The 26950-nt window shown below is 39.4% G+C and overlaps 1 non-coding gene and 1 pseudogene across 3 annotated transcripts in view; both read left to right on the top strand.

Annotated features, from left to right (window-relative positions):
- Positions 1-5820, top strand: part of SMG1P2 (SMG1 pseudogene 2) — a 68707-nt pseudogene extending 62887 nt beyond the window's left edge. For both annotated transcript variants that reach the window (NR_135317.1, NR_135305.1), the window contains 3 exons: positions 2069-2293; positions 4564-4665; positions 5381-5820. The product of NR_135317.1 is annotated as an SMG1 pseudogene 2, transcript variant 1 (transcript). The remainder of the gene's footprint in view (positions 1-2068; positions 2294-4563; positions 4666-5380) is intronic.
- Positions 5821-11465: 5645 nt separating this feature from the next.
- LOC124903797 (small nucleolar RNA U13) lies at positions 11466-11569 on the top strand. The gene has a single exon (XR_007065242.1). It is a non-coding gene; the product is annotated as a small nucleolar RNA U13 (small nucleolar RNA).
- Positions 11570-26950: the final 15381 nt, after the last annotated feature.

Raw genomic sequence — 26950 nt, 5'->3', positions numbered from 1 at the left:
CTCAGAAAGTAACCTTCTCTGAGCATAAGATGGAACTCATATGAAAACTTGTATATCTTTATATTCTTTGATAGCCTGATATCAAAGAACATAAACAAATTAAAAATGAGGTAGCTAGATTGCCACACTTCAGCAGCCTCAAACATTAGCTGCACTGTATATAGCACATCCAATGAGGGTTCAGTGGAAAAGACACAAGAAGTGAACCCCAGGCATTGTACTCTGCTTTGAATAAGGAGAAAGAAGCATGTGTGATACAGTCATAAAAAATTTAATCTAACTGATGAAAATTTTACTGTTAGGATAAAACTCGCTTTTAGGAGCATATACTTTTGCTGAACATGTTGCTAAATAAAATAGGATATTGATTATATAGTAAGTTGTGTACTTGAGCAGAAATGTCAGAACTTAAAGATAAATGAAACCAGCATATTGGTATTTTAAACCAATATGGTTTCAAAATGGTTTAATATCTTTGCTTCATTTTTAATGTCTAAAAGGTGGTTGTTTGAAGACTGTACAGAGTTGAAATAAAAAGCCGTTAATTCAGACATAAAATAAAAGGGACATAATTTATAGGATAGGTGTATATTGATTTATGAGGATCTTTTAGGCCTTTGAGAATGGTAGAATGGTGGGGTTTTTATTTTTTTTATTTATTTTTGGAGCTGGAGCCTCACTCTGTCACCCAGGCTGGAGTGTAGTAGTGCAATCATAGCTCACTGTAGTCTTGAACTCTTGGGCCCAGGTGAACTTCCCATTCACTCAGCCCTACAAGCGGGTGTCACCATACCCAGCTTTTTTTGTTTTTCTTTTTAAAGTGGGGTGGTGCCATCACGACTCAGTGCAGCCTCTGTATCTTGGGCTCAAGTGATCCTCCCACCACAGCTCCTGCTAATTTTTTATTTTTGTAGAGATGGGGTCTCAGTGTTTCCCAGGCTGGTCTTGAACTTTTGGCCTCAAGCAGTCTTCCCACCTCAGCCTCCCAAAGTGTTGGGATTATAGACATGAGCCACTGTGCATGCATGGCCAAGAATGGTTCCCCCTCCGCCCTCTCTCCCCCACTCTTTTTTTTTTTGGAGACATGGTCTCTGTTGCCCAGGCTGGAGTGCAGTGGCACGATCTTGGCTCACTGCAGCCTTGACCTCCCAGGCTTAAGTGATCCTCCCACCTCAGCCTCAAGTAGTTGGTGGGACTACTGGTGTGAGCCACCACGCCCAACTAATTTAAAAACAAATTTGGTAGAGATGAGGTGTTGTTATGTTGACATGGCTGGTCTCAAACTCCTGGACTCAAGAGAACCTTCCAGCTAATCCTCTCAAAGTGCTAGGATGATAGATGTGAGTCACTATGCCCAACCTCCAAGGATACTTTTAATGAAAACTATGGGTAGACTAAATAAAATCCTGTATGTATTGGTTGTTAAATATTATAGAAATATTTTTAAACATTTGCTCTGTTTTCTCCCCCATTTTATTAGAAATTTAGTACACAATTATTGGCCATTATAGTTAAGTGGGGGATTTTGTTTGTGTGTGTATTGGAAATAATATGATTTTTGAAGATATTATGTGGTAAGCATGAGAGTGCTTATCTTTCAAAAGAGACCATCAGTAGATAGAAACTTTAATAAGCTTAAAGTGACTTGTATGTTCAGTTTTGAAAGATTGATTCCCAAAAGCCCAAGAGCTAGCTTGTAGTATGTGTGGGCAGGCTATTCCCATGCTGTCAATACCATTACTGTCGTGGTGTATTTCATGATAAAGATTCTGAGCTTCAGCCATTTAGTGACATTGGGAGAAACGAAGTTGGGTATATGGGAAATAGAGGATGGCAGGTTCCATTTCCTGTCATAGTAGCACTTTAGGATTTTTTAGCCAAGATCATGTTTACATATTGTAGTAAAGGGATCATTATTATTCAGCTACTGAGAACTAGAATATTAAGAGACTGCTGGCAAGGCAAGCAGTTAATTTTCAGTTGAAATTGCATTAAATAAAAAGTATTTTCTTGCTTTGTGGAAGCACGTGAATTTTTGTAAAAAGCTGCTTGTTTTCCCCATTTACAGGTTCTGTACAGAGTAATGAGATGTGTGACGGCTGCAAACCAGGTGTTTTTTTCTGAGGCTGTGTTGACAGCTGCTAATGAGTGTGTTGGTGTTTTGCTCGGCAGCTTGGATCCTAGCATGACTATACATTGTGACATGGTCATTACATATGGATTAGACCAACTGGAGAATTGCCAGACTTGTGGTACCAATTATATCATCTCAGTCTTGAATTTACTCACGCTGGTATGTGAATTATTCTTTTCCTTTTTAATGTGTTGGTTTATTCAGGCCCTTAAATCGATATGTAAGAAATTAAGGACTTTGTCTGGGTATGGTGGCTCATGCTTGTAATCCCAGCACTTTGGGAGGCCAAAGCAGAAGGATTGCTTGCATCCAGGAATTCTGGCACAGCTTGGGCAATGTAGTGAGACCCCATCTGTACAAAAAGTCAAAAATTAGCTTGGTGTAGTGGTGTGCACCTGCAGTCCTAGCTACTCGGGAGGCTGAGGGAGGAAGATCGATTAAGCCCAGGAACTTGAGGTTGAAGTGAGCTCTGATTGTGCCACTGCACTCAGCCAAGGTGACAAAAAAGGCCCTGTCTCCAAAAAAGAAAAAAAATAAGGGCTTTGCTTTATTATATTATTTTTTAGAGTACATTCATCAGTCTTATAATCTATGCTTTCATTTTAGTGTCTATTTACTTTTATTTTTAATGCAATTTTTTTTTGAGACAGGGTCTCACTCTGTTGCACAGGATGAAGTGCAGTGGCATGATTTTGGCTCACTGTAGCCTTGACCTCTTGGGTTCAGGTGATCCTCCCACCTCAGCCCCCCAGGTAGCTAGGACTACAGGCGTGCACCACCACACCTGGCTAATTTTTTATATTATTTTGTAGAGATGGAGTTTTGCCATGTTGCCCAGGCTGGTCTTGAATTCTTGGGCTCAAGCAATCCACCTGCCTTGGCCTCCCAAAGTACTGGGATTATAGGCATGAGCCACTCTGCCAGGCCTCTATTTTTAGTGGTTGATAGCTAGTCTCAGTGTAGCTTTACTCGTTTTTTCTGAGGAAACATTGCTCTATGCACCAGATTCTTTCTTTTTTGCTTTTCTTTTCTTTCTTTCTTTTTTTTTTGTCACAGGATCTTGCTGTATTCCCCTGGCTGGAGTGCAGCGGTACAATCAGAGCTCACTGCAGCCTCAAACTCCTGGGCTCAAGTGATTCTCCCACTCAGCCTCCCGACTATCTGGGACTACAGATGCATGCCACCATGCCTGGCTAACCTTTGTAGTTTTTGGAGAGAAGGGGTCTCACTACATTGTCTAGACTGGCCTTAAATTCTTGGTCTCAAGTAATCCTCCTGCCTTGCCCTCCCGAAGTGCTGGGATTACAGGTGTGAGCAATCATGCCTGGCCTCCTTTAATTTCTTTCTTTTTTTTTTTTTTTTTGAGACGGAGTCTCGCTCTTTTGCCCAGGCTGGAGTGCAGTGGCACAATTGTATTTTTAGTAGAGACGGGGTTTCACCATGTTAGCCAGGATGGTCTCGATCTCCTGACCTCGTGATCTGCCTGCCTTGGCCTCCCAAAGTGCTGGGATTATAGGCGTGAGCCACCACGCCCGGCCGGCCTCCTTTAATTTCTTAACCATAAATATCCTCCCCCCACTTTTATTATGGACATTCTGAAGCACATAAAAATAGGGAGCATGGTATAATAAATTTGTACATATTTAACACTCAGCTTCTATAATTAGAAACAAATGGCCCATCTGGTTTCATCTAGGCCTCTTTGCTATCCTTTCATCTCCAGCTGGATTATTTTAAAGCAAATTCTAGATGACATTCTGCTGAGCATTTCTGCCAGATTTACACCTCTCTTTGCTAATGTGAAAAAATGCCCATGATAACTGTAAAATACGTGTGTCCTATTTAGGTGTCTAAACACTTTAATGTCACAGTATTAAGGCCTTAAAATATAGCTTAGATATATTTTTCTAAATTAAAAGACTTTATTTTTTAGATATACAGAAAATTGAGCAGAAAACAATGAGTTCCCATATACCTTCTTCATCCCAACAGTTTCCCCCTCATTAACATATTGTGTTAGTGTGGTACATTTATTACAAAGGAGTGAATATTGATATATTATTATTAACTAATTTTATAGTTTACTTTGTGTTATGTATTCTATGGACTTTAACATGTGTAATGACATGTATCCCCTATTACCAGTATCATACAGGATAGTTTCACTTCCCTAAAAATCTTTGATGTTCTACCCACTCCTTCCTCGTTCCCTCTCCCCACTCCTCCCTCCCTCCATCTTAAGCCCATGGCAACCCCTGATCTTTTTACTGTCTCCATCGTTTTGCCTTTTCCAGAATGCCATGTAGTTGGAGTCATATAGTATGTAGCCTTTTCAATTGGCTTCTTTCACTTACCAGTGTGCATTTAAGGTTTCTCCATGTCTTTTTGTAATTTGAGAAGCTCATTTTTTAAAAATTTTATTCTTTTAGATTGTTGAACAGATAAATACGAAACTGCCATCATCATTTGTAGAAAAACTGTTTATACCATCATCTAAACTACTATTCTTGCGTTATCATAAAGAAAAAGAGGTAAGTAATATACTGATAATGAATTTTGACAACTTGAGTCACTGAAGAGTTGGACCTAATGTTGCTTACCAGGCTATATAAGTGAAATTGAGTGAAATGTGAAATGTTTGATTTAGAATATAGTGATTGTATTTGTTCTTTTAAATTTATATTTCTTGATAATCATACTGAATACTTTCATGAATGATGTGCCAGATACTCTTTTCAGATTATGCATCTCTTGCTGTTATTAAATTTATTAAATTTTCATAAGGGTAAAACAAGTTGACACATTTATAAAGTTATAAATTAAGTACTGTATATTTTATAAACAAAAATGACTGGCTTTTCAACCACCCCCTAGTCAAATCCACCACAGACTTTCCTGGTAGATTTAAGAAACCCAGTCTTAAACTGCTGTTTGCATATGTCTTTTGATGTTGATTATTTAAAAAAAAAAAAAAACGGCCATTTTGGAAATTTCCTATTGACAGTTTTCATTTATAGTACTCTTTATTTGTGATAAAACTTAATAGATTTGAAATAGCTTACTGATCTGTGTCAGTTTTCTGATTGGTTTTTTAAAAATTAAAATATTAAGTGCTACGGACAGTGAATTGATCAATCTTAAATTTATTTGTATCATCAGCACTAATACAGATAGTGATTTATTTTCCATATAATTTTAGAAGATTTATTTTCCATTTATCACTTCCTTGAATTTTTTGTTTTTCAGGTTGTTGCTGTAGCCCATGCTGTTTATCAAGCAATGCTCAGCTTGAAGAATATTCCTGTTTTGGAGACTGCCTATAAGTTAATATTGGGAGAAATGACTTGTGCCCTAAACAACCTCCTGCACAGTCTGCAACTTCCTGAGGCCTGTTCTGAAATAAAACATGAGGCTTTTAAGAATCATGTGTTCAATGTAGACAATGCAAAATTTGTAGTTAAATTTGACCTCAGTGCCCTGACTACAACTGGAAATGCCAAAAACTCGAGTCTTTAATTGTAATGACTTTGTTTTATCCACAGTTAAGCCTTTTCTCATTACATATTTATGTATTTCACTGTCATGTCAACATGTCTGCAGAATCACTGTATGTAACAAACAGCCATATTTAAGACATGCCTGGATAAATAAAATTGGTAGGAATGTTTTCTTGCCATTATATTTAACGTTTCTTCTTTTTCCTTGACAAATCTTGATAAGTTTTTTTATATTAGTTTTATTTTCTAGAAAACGTCTTATGAATTTCTCCCATTTGCTCTAGCATGCTTATAGAAAATGTCAGTGTTTCTTACAGCTCAAATTTGTATAGTTGTTTTAAAATGCGGTCTCTTTCTTCCCCTGGTACTTTTTTCTTTCTGTCTACTGAAGTTAGTTCTTATACATGGTCTTATATTTTGGCTGTCTTTTTTTCCCTAGGAACATTCATACAGGTTGAATATTCCTTATCTGAAATACTTGGGACTGGAAGTGTTTTTGATTTTGGAGTTTGGAATACTTTTTTTTTTTTGGAGATAGTGTTTTACTCTTGTTGCCCAGGCTGGAGTGCAATGGCGCAATCTTGGCTCGCTGCAACCTCCGCCTCCCGGGTACAAGCGATTCTCCTGTTTCAGCCTCCCAAGTAGCTCGGATTACAGGCATGCGCCACCACGCCTGGCTAATTTTTTTGTATTTAGTAGAGATGGGTTTTCACCATGTTAGCCAGGCTGGTTGTGAACTCCTGACCTCAGGTGATCCACCTGCCTTGGCCTCCCAAAATGCCGGGATTACAGGTGGGCACCACCATGCCCAGCCGGATTTTGGAATATTTTCATAACACTTACTGGTGAGCACCCCTAATCTGAAAATCCTAAATCTAAAATGCTCCAAAATTTGAAACTTTTTGAGCACCAGTATGATGCCCCAAGTGGAAAATCCCACACCCGACCTCATGTGATGAGTCCAAACTGTTGTATGCACAAAATTATTTAAAATATTGCATAAAATGACCTTCAGGCTATGAATAGAAGGCGTCTATGAAATATAAGTGAATTTCGTGTTTAGACTTGGGTCGCGTCCCCCACATATCTCATTTTATATATGTGCAAGTATTCTCAAATCCAAACATATACAGAGTCTGAAACACTTCTGGTCCCAAGCATTTTGAATAAGGGATACTCAACCTGTAGTCTTTCTTTTAGGAGGGGGGAAAAAAAAAGCTTTTTTTTTTTTTGGAGACAGAGTCATGCTGTTGTCACCTGGGCTGGAGTGCAGTGGTGCAATCTCGGCTCACTGCCACCTCTGCCTCCCGGGTTCCAGCAATTCTCCTGCCTCAGCCTCCCGAGTAGCTGAGATTACAGACACCTGCCACTACGACGGGCTAATTTTTGTATTTTTAGTAGAGACTTGGTTTCACCATGTTGGCCAGGCTGGTCTCAAACTCCTGACCTCAGGTGATCCACCCGCCTCAGCCTCCCAAAGTGCTGGAATTACAGGCACGAGCCACCGCGCCCAGCCCGTGTGTTTTTTTTTTTAAGTAATTCGACGTGGCCCTGCTCTTGATTTGTATTTATTGTTTATGGTTTGTGTATTTCTTCTTCCTATTGGACCACACAGAGTTGAAAAACATTATTTTTAATAGAAAATAATAGGTGTAGGCTGGGCACGGTTGCTGACACCTGTAAACCCAGCACTCTGGGAGGCCACGTCGGGCTGATCACTTGTGGTCAGGAGTTTGAGACCAGCCTGGCCAACATGGTGAAAGTTCGCCTCTACTAAAAATAGAAAAATTAGCCAGGGGTGGTGGTGCACACCTGTAATCCTAGCTACTTTGGAGGCTGAGGTAGGAGAATTGCTTGAACCCAGGAAGTGGAGGTTGCAGTGAGCTGAGATCACACCACCGCACTCCAGCCTGGGCTACAGAACCAGACTCTGTCTCAAAAGAAAAAAAAAAAAAGAAAGAAACAAAGAAAGAAAGTAATGGATGTAATTAGGGAATAAAGTTTTTAGGAGGAAAAAGGTAAAATTTGATGTTTGCGCTTCAGTGTGCTCCATGTTGTTTGATTGGATTGCCTTGTATAATTCCATAGCTGCTTCGCTTATTACCAGTTACAGCTTATGTTTGAAGTCACAATAAACTCTTCTTCAAACATGAAAGCTTGATTTTTGAGGAAAATTATTCACATTATTTGCAGATTCAAAGATGTTTATGTCCTGTACTCTAGAAATAAGGAGAAAGTGGGTGGGGCTGGGGCAGTCAGGTGGAATGGAGTGTCTTGGCAGTGTAAAGGAACAAGATGGATGGAAAAGGTGTATAGTGGCAGGGTGTGCCTTTGTTTCCTTATTGAACAGGGCACCTTGCCATTTGCAGTATATGGAAAATTGAAGAAATACAGTCTACTTCCGCAAAAGGCACATACAAAGGGCTCTGTTTAGACCAGAGATCAGCAAACTATGGTCCGTGGGCCAAATACAGCCCAGCACCTGTTTTTTGTTTGTTATTTTAAGTGTATAATTCACTGATTTTTAGTATATTCACAGAAGTGTACAACCATCGCAACACTAGTGCCTGTTTTTGTAAAGAAAGTTCTCGTTGGGCTGGGCGCAGTGGTTCACGCCTGTAATCCCTCGGGAGACCGAGACGGGCAAATCACCCGAGCTCAGGAGTTCAAGACCAGCCTGGCCAACATGGTGAAACCCTATCTCTACTAAAAAAATACAAAAGTTAGCAGGGCGTGGTGATGGGCACCTGTAGTCCCAGCTACTTGGGAGACTGAGGCAGGGAGAGTTGCTTGAACCCCGGAGGTAGAGGTTGCAGTGAGCTGAGATCGCCCCATTGCACTCCAGCCTGGGCAACAGAGCGAGAGACTCCGACTCAAGAAAGTTTTCTTGGAACACAGGTACTCTCATTCCTGTGTTTCGTATGTGGCTGGTGTTTTGTTTTGAGAGAGAGAGTCTTAACTTTGTCATCTAGGCTGGAGTGCATTGGTATGATCTCGGGTCACTGCAACCTCTGCCTCCCAGGTTCAAGCGATTCTCCTGCCTCAGCCTCCCGAGTAGCTGGGATTACAAGTGTGCGCCACCATGCCCAGCTAATTTTTGTAATTTTAGTAGAGATGGGGTCCCGCTGTGTTGCCCAGGCTGGTTTCAAACTCCTGGGCTCAAGTGATCTGCCCACCTTAGCCTCCCAAAGTGCTAGGATTACAGGTGTGAGCCACAACACCTGACCTGTGGCTGTTTTCTTACTGTAGCGATAGACAAGGAGTTGCTGCATTGCATAGAGATGCTATATTGCACGCAAAGGCTTTACTGACTTCACAAAAAAGTATTTGTCCAAGGTGTAGTGTACTAGATCCCTTCCAATCTGTAATTTTAATTTAAAAATGTCCAAATAAAAAAAGTCCAAATACCCCTGTTTTGAAGGATAAACTCTGTATGCTTGTGCTTATTTTGGAGAAGCCATAAACTTACTTTGTTTTGTACATGATCAGATGTGGGCGCTATCTCCAACTGTCTTTGCACTTCTGAGTAAGAATCTGATGATTGTGCACAGTGACCTGGCTGTTCACTTCCCTGCCATTCAGTATGCTGTGCTCTACACATTGTATTCTCATTGTACCAGGTACTGTATTCACAAATTTTTCTTAAGAACCCCACAAAACATTTTATTTTTTTAATGGATAGATTTTAAAGATGTATGTTGATTTAACTTTGGACTTGCTTGCTTTCTTTGATTAAAGATGAAAAGATAATCTATGCTTTGTCTTTCAGGCATGATCACTTTATCTCTAGTAGCCTCAGTTCTTCCTCTCCTTCTTTGTTTGATGGAGCTGTGATTAGCACTGTAACTACGGCCACAAAGAAACATTTCTCAATTATATTAAATCTTCTGTGAATATTACTTAAGAAAGATAACCTTAACCAGGACACGAGGTAACAGATTTTATATAGTATTAACTATTCCTAACTTTGTTAATTTGCCTTTATAATTTGAGAATAAGAAATGTGAATTACAAAAAATTTTAAAAAATGTGGATTATAGAGGTGAGGTAGAGCAGCTTCTTTACTGTCAAACACCTTATAATTTGGTTTTATTATTTAATCTAGGCTTTCTTATTCTTTCTGAAAAGAAATACATGAAAAACCTCAATCCCCCACCCCCAGTGTTTCATAGAAGAATATATATAGATTTTTAATATTCTATGCTTTTTTTGTTTTTGAGACGGAGTTTTGCTCACTGCAACCTCTGCCTCCCAGGTTCAAGCAATTCTTCTGCCTCAGCCTCCCAAGTAGCCGTGATTACAGGTGCCCGCCACCACACCCAGCTAATTTTTGTATTTTTAGTAGAGATGGTGTTTCACCATGTTGTTGGCCAGGCTGGTCTTGAACTCCTGACCTCAGGTAAGCCACCACGCCCGGCCTCTTTGCTATTATCATGCTGCGTTGGGAGGTTTTCTTAAAAGGCACACAACAATTTTGACAGTAATTTCTATAGTTTCATTTTTTATTTTTATTTTTTATTGTTTGAGATATTTGAAAAACCAAGAGAAAACCAATGTAAGAAGACTAGGCTTTTAACGTTTTTTTGTTTTTGTTATTGTTTTTAATGTACAGTCAACTGTATATTTTGTGTTTCAGGAAACTGTTAATGACTTGGGCTTTGGAAGTAGCTGTTTTAATGAAGAAGTCCGAAACATATGCACCTTTATTCTGTCTTCCGTCTTTCCATAAATTTTGCAAAGGCCTTTTAGCCAACAGTAAGACTCTGTTTTTTTTTTTCTATTTTGTTTATCAATCCTTGGTAATGGGAGATGGTCATCAATAGAGCTCTTTTCCTGACCTGCAGATGTGTAATCCTCATTTTAATGACAGATACACAGTCTTGATTTTTTTTCATTCTTAGTATTAGAAAAATGTTTTGAAGTGATTGTCACATTTTTAAGCTTACGTGAATGTTTATAGTTTGCATATACTTTTACATTTTCTCTCAGAAAAAGTTTTGTGTGATGACCCATCAGTTACATTACGTGGGTTTTGTTGAATGTGTCATTTTTCCAAACATGACAGTCAATGAGGATTCTGGACAAGAACAGTGCCTAGTCTAGAGTAGGCACTCACTCTTTGTTGAATGAATGAATGGATTCAGATAATTATGACAAACTGGGATATAATTTCTTTTGGCCAGCTGAAAGTAGCTGTCTTTTAATGTTTAATAGTTCTCGTTGAAGATGTGAATATCTGTCTGCAGGCATGCAGCAGTCTACCTGCTCTGTCCTCTTCCTTGCCAGATGATCTTTTACAGAGGTATGAAATTAAGATCATGTCTTTTGACATTAATCCTAATAACTTTGAAATGTTAACACACCTGCTTTGTCTATTTCGTTCTTTCATAGATGTGTTGATGTTTGCCATGTTCAACTAGTGCACTGTGGAACTCGTATTCGACAAGCATTTGGAAAACTGTTGAAATCAATTCCTTTAGATGTTATCCTAAGGTATAACAGTTGTTTTGGAGCAAAGACATTCTGTGATATTTACAGCCTCTACTGGTTGTCTACTTTAGGAGAAGACAGATCACCTATTAGAGCATTAATGACACATCTTTTATGGCCCTGCTTGTCAGTGATTGAAGTGATGTCAAATAATCAAATTTTGCAGGTCTGCAAGAAAATTAAAAATTTTTAATGAGCTTTATAGGCTCACAATAATTAGTATAGAATAACTCATGTAGTGCCAAAATATGTTTCTTAGTAGCTCAGATATTTGAAAAACTAAACAGTAATCTTTTATTGTTTTTGATCAAGTTGATTTGGGAGCTTTTAAGAGCCTAAACTTGATCCTTTTGTAATACATAAGCATAATGATTGGGTTTTTATGTTCACATGTTTGATATGCCTCCCTCAAATCCTCTTATGATGTCGGCACATGACCCATCTGAAGTGAATAAAAAAAGGATCTAAAGTTGTAATCACATCTCCGTATCCATTTGAAAGTCTCAATTTTTCTATATTTTTACCTCCAGTGAGTTAATAAGTAAATAATCCACTTACAGTATGTGCTAACCTTTTAAGCTAAAATATTTTGCGTAACAACAACTTTATTTTCTGTCTACAGCAATAACAATCACACAGAAATTCAAGAAATTTCTTTAGCATTAAGAAGTCACATGAGTAAAGCACCAAGTAATACATTCCACCCCCAAGATTTCTCTGATGTTATTAGTTTTATTTTGTATGGGAACTCTCATAGAACAGGGTAAGGCATTTCTTTGACTATTTTATCTAGGAAAGATAATTTTAAGATTCCCTTTACTTTACATGCAGTTTTGAAGAGAAAATATGTTTGGGGGTGGCAGAGTATCAAGTAACATTCTTCTCATATGGGTTATTTCAGTTTTCATCAATAGGAAAATTACTTTGAAGATAGCATCTGTAGAAACAAAAATGGGCTTTGAAATTGAGTAATGAAATGTGGTTAACAGTTAACTGATGTGATGTCATTAACACTTTGGGGAATGGGGTGGGGGTGGAGATATTCTAGAGATGCTTAGTTGCATTGAATGAGTTTCATTCCTGACCGGCATGAGCCGTTTACCCTAATCATCCTTCCACGCTGTACCTCATCCTGTTAACTATAAAAGACCTCAAAATAAGAGGGGGGGGACATAATGCTTCTCAATTTCATAGGTTTTGCCTTTTTTTGGAGTAGGGAAAATTACAGTTCCTTATTCCCATTCCCCTTGCATTTTTTTTTCATTATTAAAATGAAGTTGTCATTGTCTTTTAAATATGAAACTACTTTTCCCAGGAAGGACAATTGGTTGGAAAGACTGTTCTATAGCTGCCAGAGACTGGATAAGCATGACCAGTCAACAATTCCACGCAATCTCCTGAAGACAGATGCTATCCTTTGGCAGTGGGCCGTATGGGAAGCTGCACAATTCACTGTTCTTTCTAAGCTGAGAACCCCACTGGGCAGAGCTCAAGACACCTTCCAGACAATTGAAGGTAACTCGCTCAAGCTTTGTGATGTGAATACTTTCAAAGCCTTATTAAGAAATAATGGATTTTTAAATCTTTGTTAAAGATTTGAGAGTATATGATTTTTTTGAAAAGAAGTCAGTAATTTTCAGGTATGTTTGTTAGAATAAGCTTTCATTGAATAATTGCATTGGAAATATGTTTGTTTTTTTCCCAAAACTTATGGGAGTTGTGTGGAAAAAATATATATTTTTTTCCCCTAAAATGAAAGATCTTTCATGTTGGGATTTTTTATTTTTAAATGATGGGTAGACAGAGGATACTTGATAAATGTGAATTGATCATAAAAAACTCACACTTATTCTAGGAACTTTTAAGATTTTTAAAAATTCAGAATGTTGTCTTTGCTTTCAGGTATCATTCGAAGTCTCGCAGCTCACACATTAAACCCTGATCAGGATGTTAGTCAGTGGACAACTGCAGACAGTGATGAAGGCCATGGTAACAACCAACTTAGACTTGTTCTTCTTCTGCAGTATCTGGAATATCTGGAGAAATTAATGTATAATGCATACGAGGGATGTGCTAATGCATTAACTTCACCTCCCAAGGTTGGTTTCCATGAGATAGTGTTGTTTTATAGCAGTTTAATGGTCACAGCTGGCAGTATGTGCAGAGCTGAAATCACAATAGACTTGTGTATTTGGTTTATATATAGGTGAGACATCCTTACCTACAAATTGAACCAGTCCTGAGCTTTTCTTTCTCTTATCGTAAAGTGACTAGAACTTTTTTCTATACCAATCGCCAAACTTGTCAGGACTGGCTAACGCGGATTCGACTCTCCATCATGAGGGTAGGATTGTTGGCAGGCCAGCCTGCAGTGACAGTGAGACATGGCTTTGACTTGCTTACAGAGATGAAAACAACCAGCCTATCTCAGGTAAAGTGGTGTGTTTGAAATTCATTTTAAGTCTGTTAATAAGAAAAACATGGTTTAATTCCTTTGGTATGATTTAATCTATGGATAAAATAAGTTAAAGCTTGGATTCATTTTCAAAGGTTTTGATCCTGTATTTTGTAAAAGCAACAACTGCCAGAGTTACCTATTTTATTCGTGTTAAAACAGTGTTAGAAGTTAAAATAATGTTCATGTTTTTGTTCATGTTAAAACAATATTCATCTTAGAACATGTTAAAACTATATTTCTTATGTGCAAAGTTTAGAACTTTAAAGGTAATTCTGAAAATTTGTTTATGGGGGAAATTTTTTATTTATTTATTTATTTTTTTGAGACACAGCACTCTGTCGCCCAGGCTGGAGTGCAGTTGTGTGATCTCGGCTCACTGTAAGCTCCGCCTCTCGGGTTCAAGCCTCTTCTTGCCTCAGTCCCTGGGATTACAGGCACCCACCACCATACCCAGCTAAGTTTTGTATTTTTAGTAGAGACAGGGTTTCACCATGTTGGCCAGGCTGGTCTCGAACTCCTGACCACAAGTGATCCGCCCACCTTGGCCTTCCAAAGTGCTGGGATTACAGGCATGAGCCACTGCACCTGGCCAGGAGAAATTGTTTTTATAACGTATGACAAATGCTTGAGTAATTCCTGGCTTGAAAGTGGGCTCACAATAAATAACTGGAATCCAAAAATAACAAAATGTTTAGCAATTCAGGTAATGTCAAGCAGTATTCAAACACATGAAGTTAATCATTCTTTAATTCCTGTTTATTTATATTTAATTTTTGCTTTCTTTTTACTCCATGTGTTATTCCTACAGAGGTCACAGGTTAAATGTTTGGGTAACTTTGGGGTGGGGGTGCAAACATCCATGTGCTGCTAAGGTTCTGTTAGTCACCCTTTGTGGCTATTTTATATGTAACATTTTAAAGAATTCTGAGCTAAATAATGTGAAAATTGTGAAAATAATTGTTAAATACATTTGGCTTTAAGCAGGCACAGACTGTGATCAGTTGTAAATTTTATAGGGATTTATGTTTTAATGGTATTGGGTGACTAACTTTTCTGAATGCGTTTTCAGGGGAATGAATTGGAAGTAACCATTATGATGGTGGTAGAAGCACTATGTGAACTTCATTGTCCTGAAGCTATACAGGGAATTGCTGTCTGGTCATCATCTATTGTTGGAAAAAATCTTCTGTGGATTAACTCAGTGGCTCAACAGGCTGAAGGGAGGTAGGTTGGAGGGAAGGAAATGGGTGATAGAATTACTTTATGTTTAAATTCTTTGTATTACTCACTGACATTGTAGCCAAATCTTAAAACAGCTTTGTTTGCTTTCAGCATTGAAGCTTGCTATAAATCACTTCACCAGGAGGCATCTTCAGTTTGTTCTTTAGTTAGCAGCAATACTTGAGTGCCTTTCTTATTTAAGAATTAGTGGCAAATCACACTGAAAAACAAGACCTGTCAGTTGTTTTATAAATGCTTTTGAACTTGATCCCTAGTTGAGCTCCTTCCCCCTCAGAGTCTGATACAAATTACCCTTTATTGTCAGAGTATTTGCTCATTAGTCCTGTGAACTCTACATTCAGACTCATTGCTTCCTCCAGATAGAGGAGCTTGTACCATAATATTCTGTGTCCATTTATGTTAGTTTAATGAAATCTTGCGAATTTAGGAAAATAAAAGAACTGCTCATTCTTCCATATCTTTGTAGTAACTTCTGTTGTGTGTCCTTTTGTAGTCCCATATTTCCATATCCATATGCTTTGTAATTCTTTTTTCTTTCATGTCGTTTTCTCCATTCTTCACCAAAACAGCAGCATACATAGGCACATGGTTTTATGATCTGTTTTTCCCACTCAATATTTAAAAAAAAAATTTGCCATGTTAGGTAGGCTGGGTTCGGTGTCTTACATCTGTATTCCCAGCACTTTGGGAGGCCGAGGCAGGTGGATCACCTGAGGTCAGGAGTTTGAGACTAGCCTAACATGGTGAAACCCCGTCTCTACTAAAAATACAAAAAATATTAGTGGGGTGTGGTGGCACATGCCTGTAATCCCAGCTACTTGGGAGGCTGAGGCAGGAGAATCGGTTGAACCCGGGAGGCGGAGGTTGCTGTGAGCCCAGGTTGTGCCACTGCCCTCCAGCCTGGGCAACAAAAGCAAAACTCTGTCTCAAAAAAAAAAAAAAAAAAAATTGCCATGTTAAGTATTCTACAGTGTTATTTTTAATAAAGATTTGTATTTATGAGTGTACCATAATTTAATATTTCTTACTGTTGGGCATTAAGGTTGTTTCTGATTTTTTTTTTTTTACTAAATGTACCATAGCACTTAATATCTTTGCTTATATTTCTGATTACTTTCTTGGAATCCATTCTCATAAACTGATTTACTAGAAGAAAGGCTGCCAAACCATAAGTCTTATGATATATTCTATTGCTAAGTTACTCTACAGAAAAGATGGCTGCAATGTATACCCTTAATAATAGAGTACCCCCTTCCCTTCACCTTTGTGGATACTGAGAGTCACTGAGAAACAAGAATGCTGCCACCACCATCAGCGAAAATAGTTATTGTACTTTACATTTCTATATGTATTAATGACTAATAGTAGAAGTTGCCCCATATAGTGACCATTTGTGATTTTTTAAAACATGGATCATGTCTTCATGGCCTCTCAATTTTTCCTGTGTTAATCTGTGAAATTTCATTAAATACTAAGATTGTTGATGCTATCCAATTTCTTGATTATAATTTGTTTTTAATGTTTAGTGTTGTATTTCAGCATTATGCATCTAGATGCTGTTACTTGTGCATCTTTTCTTGCATTTTATCCTTCTACAAAGCCTTTCCACACACTGACATCAGTTACTTATCAATATTTTCCACTAGTTCTTTTATACTCTTACATTTTTTAAAAAACATTTAACCACTTTTAAATTTAGTTTCATAGTTGTGAGGAAGACATCAAACCTCCCCCCACCATAGTCAACTCACTGTTTTAGCTCAGTTTATTCTTGCACCATTTTTTGTGGGAGGGGGGAAATGAGATATGTGTGTTTAAAATAACAGCCTCCTTTGGGGCTGGGCGCGGTGGCTCACGCCTGAAATCCCAGTACTTGGGGAGACTGAGGTGAGCGGATCGCTTGAGTCCAGGAGTTTGAGACCACCCTGGCCAACAGAGCAAAACCTTGTTTTAGCCAGGTGTGGTGGTGGGCGCCTGTAGTCCCAGCTACTTGGGAGGCTGAGGTTGGAGGATTGCATGAGCCTGGGAGGGCAAGGCTGCAGCGAGCCATGATCATGCCACTGCCCTCCAGCCTGGGTGACAGTAAGACTGTCTCAAAAAACAAGTAAGTAAGTAAGTAAAGGCCAGGCGCGGTGGCTCATGCCTGTAATCCCAGCACTTCGGGAGGCCGAGGCAGGCGGATCACCTGAGGTCAGGAGTTCAAGACCAGCCTGGCCAACATGGTGAAACCCCGTCTCTACTAAAAATACAAGAAAATTAGCCGGGCATGGTGGCGAGCGCCTGTAATCCCAGCTACTCAGGAGGCTGAGGCAGGAGAATCGCTTGTACCCAGGAGGCAGAGGTTGCATTGAGCTGAGACAGTGCCATTGCACTCCAGCCTGGGCAAGAAGAGCAAAACTTCATCTCAAAAAAAAAAAAAAAGTAAGTAAGTAGATAAATAAAGAAATAAGACTGCTTCAATTTGCTTTTCAGGTTTGAAAAGGCCTCTGTGGAGTACCAGGAACACCTGTGTGCCATGATAGGTGTTCATTGCTGCATCTCCAGCTTTGACAAATCGGTGCTCACCTTAGCCAATGCTGGGTGTAACAGTGCCAGCCCGAAACATTGTCTGAATGGTGAGCGTTCAGTATTTTTAAATAAAGCAAAAGTTATAGTAATATATTTCGTACTGATGATCTTATCATGTTTTTAGGTTTCTGTGCTCTTTGAAATATTTCTAATTGATCTGAATCTCTCTCTTCTTACTTTATAAAATACTTTCAGGTGAATCCAGAAAAACTGTGCTGTCCAAACCGACTGACTCTTCCCCTGAGGTTATAAATTATTTAGGAAATAAAGCATGTGAGTGCTACATCTCAATTGCCGATTGGGCTGCTGTGCAGGAATGGCAGAACGCTATCCATGACTTGAAAAAGAGTACCAGTAGCACTTCCTTCAACCTGAAAGCTGACTTCAACTATATAAAGTAAGGCTTTCTGTTTCCAGTTATAAAACAAATTTCCAATAACTACGATGTTTTTCCTATGGCAAAAAAATATTAAAATTGGTCATATGTAGTAATACAAAATGGTTATATTTCTAACTTACTGCCATTATGAAAATGACAACAGGAAACTGACATCAGAGATGAGGGAAGGTATTTGTATAATGGGAAAACACTGCTGAGATAGTCATTTGGTATTAATTTTCAGAACCTGTTGTTCTAAAACCTTAATACAGTTTGAAGATTATGCCAGAGTGAATATAAAGAAAAATTTGTACTGCTTTAGAAAGAATCACATTTGATGGCTTTGTTTCTAAATGAGGTCTGAATATATCAAAAACATTTATTCTAATGAGGACAGAGTTTGTGAACATCTGTAAATTAAACTTTCTTCTCATTCCTCTGTGCTTTTATTAATTCTGTAATTCAAAACTGAGCACTCTGTTGCAGACACTTGGCTGGGAAGATAAAGGTCATTAGACTTTGTCTGATACTTCTACTGCTAAATGGGTTAATGTGTAATTGCTTCACTGAGCATGTGCTGTGACCCAGGCAGCACATAAAACAGACACAAATTCCAACCTTTTAAAGCAAAGATTAGATAAAGATTATTGATAGAAGGACTAATTGGACCTCACTCACCTTTTCTGTGCCATAAGGAAAGCAGTTAGGTAAAGCTGACCTTCTTTGGAGGGAAGACACAAGGTCAAGACATGCCCATCAGGATGCCCTTTGGGCCTAGACCTGATGTGAGAATGATGGGCTTGGAGTGTTCTGGAAATAGCTGGGAGGCCTGTGTGTTTAGGAGCGCCTTAAACAGTAGGATATAAGGGCAGAGAAGTAGCTGGGAACTGAGAAGAACTTTGGCTGTTATTCTAGTAAGACTGAAAATTTCAGGTGGGATTTGAACAGAGATGTGTTGTGATCTGACTTGGTTCATTCTGCTGTGGTGAAGAGACTGGAGGTGCGGGGCAAGTATGGAAGCATGGAGACCATTAATTTATGGGGGCAATGGTAGAGGGAAGAGAAACAATGCTATTAACTGGAGTAGGAGCACACAGAGAACAAGCCATGTTTTAAGATTTCTAATGAAATGTGCAGATGAGATTGTTGGGTAAGCTGTTAAGAATTGGATTTTGAACTAAGGAGACAGTCTAAGCTTGAGAGATTTGCAGATGATTAGTACACAGAAAAGGCCCTCTTTCCTTTTCAGTCTCTATACTCTAGAGCCTTTGTAAGCAACCAAACCAGAGAGAAGCCTCTGGAGAATAGTGAGTGAAGAGGAAGGAAGGCCTGGGTCAGAATCCTAGTTTAGCATTTTTGTGAAAGGATAGAAGAGGAAGCCATTCAAAAAAATAACAGGGACATTGAGAAGGGAAGTGCCCTAGATATAGGACATCCAGATGGGAGTAGTCAGCCTTGTCAGATGCTCTAGGGATTATAAGGAAAAAGAGTTTTGTAGAGAGACAGAAGAAGCTAGATTGAATAGTATTGAGTGGTAGAGACATTTGAAAATGAAAAGCTTGAGGTAAGTTATTTGGTCAGTGAGTTTTTCTTGAAGTCGAGGATAGGAAGCTGTTGCTGGAGGGAAATATGAGATGTTTATTTTAAATGTTGGAGAGATTATGTTCTTTTGGCCAAGGGGAAGGAGCCACTAGAAAGCAGAGGTTGAAGAAACAGGAGAAAGAACATTGATAGATTAACTGGCCCTCACCTTTTCTCTGCCTCAAGGAAAGCAGTCAAAGTTGGTATAGACAGAATTTCGGCAGTGTATGGTGGATTGGGGGTAGGGGTAGAGGAAATTAAAGCCTGTGTTTTTTTGTTTATTTGTTTGTTTTTTCTGAGGACTGAGTCATTAGCTGAAAGCATAGGGCATTATAGAGCATAGTGGGGACTTGGGGAACCTGCCACTGGAGAGGACTTAGGACCTTTTAATGGCAGAAATGATGACTGTGTTGGCAGCAGTTCATCAGTGCCCAGTACTCAAGGGTCCCCCTGAGAAGCCAGTGGTTGCACTGATCTAGGTAGAATCAGGCACAGAATAAGTCAGGTGATGTGCCTTTCTAGCACTGGCCTCAGGCTGAGTTATAAGGGAAGTTACACAGCGAGAGGGACAGGCAAAGATGGAAAAGAGAGAGTGAGAAACAGTGTCTTCTTCCTGGCTGGAGAGCCCGTGTCATGAAAATGGGGACAGGGTAAGGGATCTGAAAGGAGCAGCATAGAAGCTGGGAGGATGAGGCCTGTCTTCCTGGCATTGATGCTGCAGAACTACAGGAAAGAATTTCAGAGGTGTCATTATTTTTCATATAAGCAGATGAAAGAGAAGAATTCTTTGAAAAAAGAAAAGTAGGTGAAAAAGGGAGAGACAGAGGGATGCCAGCAGTGAAAGAAGCCAGGACTGAGATACAAGATTGTGATGCTGGGAGAGCTGCAAGGGCTCATGCTGTAGGTGAGGAGTGAGGCTGCACAGGGAGCTCACTGGCAGCTTGGAGAGAACTGGGTGTCAAAGTTGTCCTGCAGAGGTCTACTGTCAGTGTGTCAGGCTCTGAAGAGAACAGGCTGCAACACATGAAAACAGGAAGGAGACACAGGGGCGAGTCAGCTCCACTGAAAGTCTGTAGCTGTGACTTTCTGGTTTGCCACTCCAATTTGAGTACTAATTAAGTGGTAGTCACATCTTCAACATAAAAACCAAAATAATGGCATCCTCGTGGAAGGAATTTTGTCAGAAAAATGCTGTGTACTTTGCTGTCTTCCTAGGATTTGTTCTGTTTTTGTTTGTTTGTTTTTTTTAATGGTTCCACAGGCTGCATAGGAATACAAGCTAAGCAATATTTTAATTACAGATCATTAAGCAGCTTTGAGTCTGGAAAATTTGTCAAATGTACCGAGCAATTAGAATTGTTACCAGGAGAAAATATCAATCTACTTGCTGGAGGGTCAAAAGAAAAAATAGGTAGGTATTTGAGAAAATAGTTTTAAAGTTATTTTAGTGGACAAGTTGCTCAAAATGTTTGGCTTAGTATATTTTACTGGAAAATCTGGAAGTTATTTTACATTTTTGTGGGGGCAGAATCCCATGTGAAGCAACAAATTTAGGGCTGCCCTATTTATGTTTGATTTGGGAAATGAAAAGCACTTAAAATTAAGTCAAATAAAAAAAATGACCACCTTAATACTTTGAGATTTATCTAGCCATTTTGTTTGATAAAGGACAAAGTAGTGTTTCAGCTAAATATTTTTCTTGATTTTCATCTTGATGTGGCTCATTAAGTTCTTTATCACAAATGGAACACTTGATAAGATGTTATTAAAAAGTTTAATGAGTATTCTGGATTGAGCAAGACTTGCTAATGCAGGTCTAGATTTGTCCCCTTAAATAGTAGATTGACTTACCGATTTTCTTTTTTGTTGAGACAGAGTCTCACTCTGTTGCCCAGGCTGGAGTGCAGTGGCGCGATTTCGGCTCACTGCAACCTCCGCCCTCTGAGTTCAAGTGATTCTCCTGCCTCGGCCCCCTGAGTAGCTGGGATTACAGGTGTCTGCCACCGTGCCCAGCTAATTTTTTGTATTTTTAGTAGAGACGGGGTTTCATCATCGTGGCCAGGCTGGTCTTGAACTCCTGACTTCGTGATCCACCCACCTTGGCCTCCCAAAGTGCTGGGATTACAGGCGTGAGCCACCACACCTGACCTCGACTTAGTGATTTTTGAGCCTTTGAAGGCAACTGCTTTTTAGGGGTCTGAGGTACAGTAATTTTGTATGAAGTATGATTTTTATATAGCTCTCAGTAATGCTTATAGTGTTTAACTGCCTGAAATATTAAAGGAGCTGTTCATTGGTGATTAGTTCTTAATAATGCCAAACATAAATCAAAATTTATAATAAAAGCACATTAACTTAATGACATTTCATTTAACTTCTGTAGACATGAAAAAACTGCTTCGTAACATGTGAAGTCCAGATCCAAGGGAACCTCAGAAATCCATTGAAGTTCCATTGTTAAGAAGTTCTGTTTGTTTGGCAACTGCTTTAAACCCGATAGAACAAGATCAGAAGTGGCAGTCTATAACTGAGTAAGTTTACTCTTACGGAGGTAAATGTACATTGTGTATATCATGTGATAAACATACATGGGGTGAAGAGGGCTGGAAGGAGAGTTACTAGATTACTAAATACTAGTGCTAATAGCTTCATTTTAGTTGTAGAAGTCATATGATATATGAATGCTGCTTGCCAACAAAAACTGAGGTTGAAATGAAATAAAATGTAAAAATCCCCAAAAGCAAATGTCTTGACTTGCTGATATCATTTTATTATAGAGCAGGCTGCTCCTCTTACTGCCCCCTAACTTTGGATGTCAGTTTGATAGCATCTTATCAATTGCTTTATTCTTTGAGTGGTTATGAATTGTAATTTTTATTAATTGACAGTAAATATTTTGTTTCAGAAATGTGGTAAAGTACTTGAAGCAAACATCCCGCATCACTATTGGACCTCTGAGACTTTCTACTTTAACAGTTTCACAGTCTTTGCCAGTTCTAAGTACCTTGTAGCTGTATTGCTCGTTTGCTTTGGAGACCACAGTTTCTAACAGACTTTCAACAGAGGTCTGTATATTTTTACAAGCACACTCTTATGACTATTAATGGTCATTACTGTAGAACAAAGACCTTATTTTTTGAGTTTTTTGGAATAGGATTTGTAGTTGGGCAAGCTGGTAAATCCAGAAATCTAACATGCCGTTTTCAGGCAGTCTTTCATTTGGGAAGTACATGGGGCAGATGGAAGAACCTGAGATAATCGCAAGGATGGCAAATTGCTCAGTTTTTTCTTCTATTTTTGGGGTGGGAGGTGGTGTATGTAAAGACAGTTCCTTTAGGCGGATTACGTAAATTTTAGATTTGCTGCAAACAAAGATCTCTCCTCTTCATCCTAAATGGGGTAAAGTTCGACCAGAGATGGGGGCTTCTGAATGAATGGTGATCTTCGAGAACTTCATAATAAAGCATTAGTTGTAATGTTTTTCTGCAGTCTGCTTTATAGTAAATGTGCTGTGACATTTTTTTTGTAATGTGCTTTATTAAGTATATTGATAAATTAGACTTAATATTCTGAAGAAGATTTCCCTTCAAAACAAAAGGCTTTCTCTTACTGTGTGCTTGCCTCTTGTGAGTAGAAGATAAATGATGGAAGGGTATAGTGTAATAGATAAAACTACTGCAATCAATCTGAAGTAGCCAAACTATATTGCAGTCTTGGACTTAAGACTTGCTATATATCTGCAAACATATCAACAGCCTGTTTTACGTTGAGTAATTTTGGTTTTTCTCTGGCAGGACTGTCTTATTCCACTCTTCGGCGAAGCTTTACGTTCATGTAAACAGCATGACGTGAGGCCGTGGATGCAGGCATTAAGGTATACTGTGTACCAGAATCAGTTGTTGGAGAAAATTAAAGTTAAGTGGTTTTCCTTTTTTTTTTTTTTGTAAGAGAAAATTAAAGGTGGTTTTTTTTTTTTAATTTTGCTTTATTGAGGTTTATATTACACATTCTAAGTGTATGGTTTGATGAGTTCTAACATGTCTTCACTTGTGTGACCACCAATACGATCGAGATACAGAACAGCATCTTACCCCAGAAGGTTCCCTTGAGATCATCTCCTCATTTGCCCCTGTCAGCAGTTACTGATTTGCTTTCTGTCACTATGGATTAGACTTGTCTTTACTAAAGTTTCATGTACGTGAAATCATAACAACATGTTCTCTTGTGTTTGGCTTCTCTTGCTCAGCATGATATTTTTACGGTTCACCCATATTGCATGTATCAGGAATATAATCCTTTTTATTATTGAGTAGTGTTCTATTGTATGTATATACCACAGTTTATTTCTCCCTTCATCCTTTGCTAGATTTTGGGGTTTTTTCACATTGCGCTATTCAGTATAAACCTGCTCTCAACATTCATGTGCAAGTCTTTGAGTGGACATATATTTGCGTTTCTCTTGAGTGAATGCACCTTGTTGGGTCACGTGGCTTAACTTAAAAAAATTTTAATCACTGTGGTGCATATGTAGTGATTATTAGTGATTATCTCATAATTTTATTTTCTTGATGACTAATGATGTTGAGTGTATTTCATTTGTATTTTAGTTTGCAAATGTTTGTTCAAATTCTTCACCCGTTTTTAATGAAGATGTACGACTTATTTTTGTGTTCTGAACAGAAGTTCTTTGTCACATAAAATGTGCTATGAATGTTGAGTTTTAAATACTCCAAATGAATGGCTAGAGAATTACTATTTGTAGAAATATTTATATGTCAAAGGGATGCTAACAATTTACTTTATTGCTCTAAAATAGAAAAGTTGCCAGAATGCTGTGGAGTTTTAGTGGAAAACATGATAGCTGGTGTTACTGAGTAAATTTGAGTGTTAAATGTCAATGTAAGCTAACGGCCAAGATAGGGACCACTGCAGGGTGGTTACTTGCAGCTGTGACTCAACTGGTCCTTCACTGCCAAACATACCTGGGGTTGGATCATTGGCCTGACGTTTGCAAATTGAGGAACCTTAGGGCAAATCAGTGAACTTCTGAACTGCCTTCGTCTTCAGTTATATGGGGATTTCCCCACTTTTGAGATCCTTGTAAGGATTATATGAGATGAAGAGATGAGACAAGGTATATAAAAGTCCTAGCACAGAGCGTGTCATATAATATGGCTTCACAAGTACCCTCATCTCCTTTCCAGTCGTTTTTTGTTTTTGTTTTTGTTTTTTTGAGACCATCTCACTCTGTTGCCCAGGCTGGAGTGCCTCTTCATTTTTATTTCTTTATTCAGCAAGTATTGATCAAATGTGCTTTGTACCAGGTACTGAGCTCTACGTTGGGATATAATGGTGATCAAGGAGATTGTAGATTCTGGCAGGGAAAACTGACATCAAACACGGCGACCCGACATAGTGAGACCCTGTCTCTACTAGAAGAACTTTAAAAATCACCTAGGTGTGGGCCGGGCACGGTGGCTAACGCCTGTAATCCCAGCACTTTGAGATGCTGAGGCAGGTGGATCACGAGGTCAGGAGATCGAGACCATCCTGGATAACACGGAGAAACCCCGTCTCTACTAAAAATACAAAAAAATTAGCCGGGCGTGGGGGCGGGCATCTGTAGTCCCAATTACTCGGGAGGCTGCAGCAGGAGAATGGCATGAACCCGGGAGGCGGATCTTGCATTGAGCCAAGATCACGCCACTGCACTCCAGCCTGGGCGACAGAATGAGACTCCATCTCAAAAAAAAAAAAAAGAAACCAAGGATATAGAATAAAACAAGAGTGTAGATTTGGGCATTGAGGCCTTCAAATTGGATTGTTCCCAATGTCCAGAAGAAAAAAAAAATTTAGAAGAGACCCAAATCAGAAAACAAAAGTTGGGCTGAATTCAATGCGAATTATTTTCTAGCTCAATATTAATACTGCTTATGTCAGCTGAATTTCAGCCTTTCAATAACAGCTAGTCAAGTATTTTTTTAGTTGGTTCCTATTGATCGTCATCTTATTTTAGTGGAATCCATTATATTGAAGATGTCAAGTTCCTCATTTCCCATACAAAGAATGTGAGATTCATCTTTCTTGAATCTTTGCTAAGTGTTGAAGGGGACTTTTGGCATCTTTTCAGGAGGACTATAATTGGGCCCTCTAACTAAAAAGTCTCCTATGCCCCTTAGATAGATGAGATTTTTTTTTTTTGACCTTGTACCCACCAACATTGGTGGGAGGCTCAGAAGGGACTGTGTTTGTAACTTTGTAGCACTTTCTAAACAGTGACCTGTTGTATGGGCATTATAGGACAGTCCGTGGGGTGGGGCGGGGGATGGGGGAGATGGACAAATGAGGTCTGGTTTAAAGAATGAGAAGTGTGACCAGGCATGGTGACTCATGCCTGTAATCCAGCACTTTGGGATGCTGAGGCAGGAGGATCACTTGAGCCCAGGAGTTTGAGGTTACAGTAAGCTATGATTGTGCCACTGGGCTCCAGCCTGGGTGACAGAACTAGACCCTGTCTCTAAAAAAAGAAGAAGAGGTGTGTATCCTTCTAAATGATAAAACAGATCACTCCCCTGCTTACATAAAACTTTCCGGTGGCTGGCCAGGCACGGTGGCTCACGCCTGTAATCCCAGCACTTTGGGAGGCCATGGTGGGCAGATCACGAGGTCAGGAAATCGAGACCATCCTGGCTAACGTGGTGAAATCTTGTCTCTACTAAAAACACAAAAAATTAACCCAGGTATGGTGGCATGCACCTGTAGTCCCAGCTACTCGGGAGGCTGAGGCAGGAGAATCGCTTGAACCAGGGAGGTGGAGGTTGCAGTGAGCTGAGATTGCGCCACTGCACTCCAGCCTGGGTGACAGAGACTCTGTCTCAAAAAAAAAAAAAAAAAAGAAAAAGAAAAATTAGATGGGTGTGGTGGCATGTGCCTGTAATCCCAGCTACTGGGGAGCCTGAGGCAGGAGAATCGCTTGAACCTGGGAGGCAGAGGTTACAGTGAGCCAAGATTGCACCACTGCAGTCTGCCTGGGTGACAGAGCTAGACTCTGTCTCAAAAACAGAAAAACAAAAAAACAACTTTCCAGTGGCTTCTCACTGCTCTGAGAATAAACTCCAGGCTCTTCCATTGCAACCAACAGGATCTGGTGATTCGACCCCAGCCCCTCTTTCCAGGCCCTCATCACCTTGATCCTCCCTTAACCTATCCTGCTCCAGCTGCACTGGCTGCCTTCCTATTCCTCCAGCATACCAAGATTGTTTCTGCCACAGGGCCTTTGCATCTGCTGTTCTCTTCGCCTGGACACCTCTTGGTTCTTTTTTTTTTTTTCCTTTGAGATGGAGTCTCACTCTGTCGCCCAGGCTGAAGTGCAGTGGCGCGATCTCGGCTCACTGCAAGCTCCATCTCCCAGGTTCATGCCATTCTCCTGCCTCAGCCTTCCGAGTAGCTGGGACTACAGGCATCCGCCACCACGCCCGGCTAATTTTTTTGTATTTTTAGTAGAGACAGGGTTTCACCGTCTTAGCCAGGATGGGCTCGATTTCCTGACCTCGTGATCCGCCCGCCTGGGCCTCCCAAAGTGCTGGGATTACAGGTGTGAG

This window comes from Homo sapiens, chromosome 16 (genome assembly GCF_000001405.40).
Source record: "Homo sapiens chromosome 16, GRCh38.p14 Primary Assembly".
Taxonomy (NCBI): domain Eukaryota; kingdom Metazoa; phylum Chordata; class Mammalia; order Primates; family Hominidae; genus Homo; species Homo sapiens.
The sequence above is the reverse complement of the archived record's forward strand: the minus strand, read 5'-3'. Positions and strand labels throughout refer to the sequence as shown.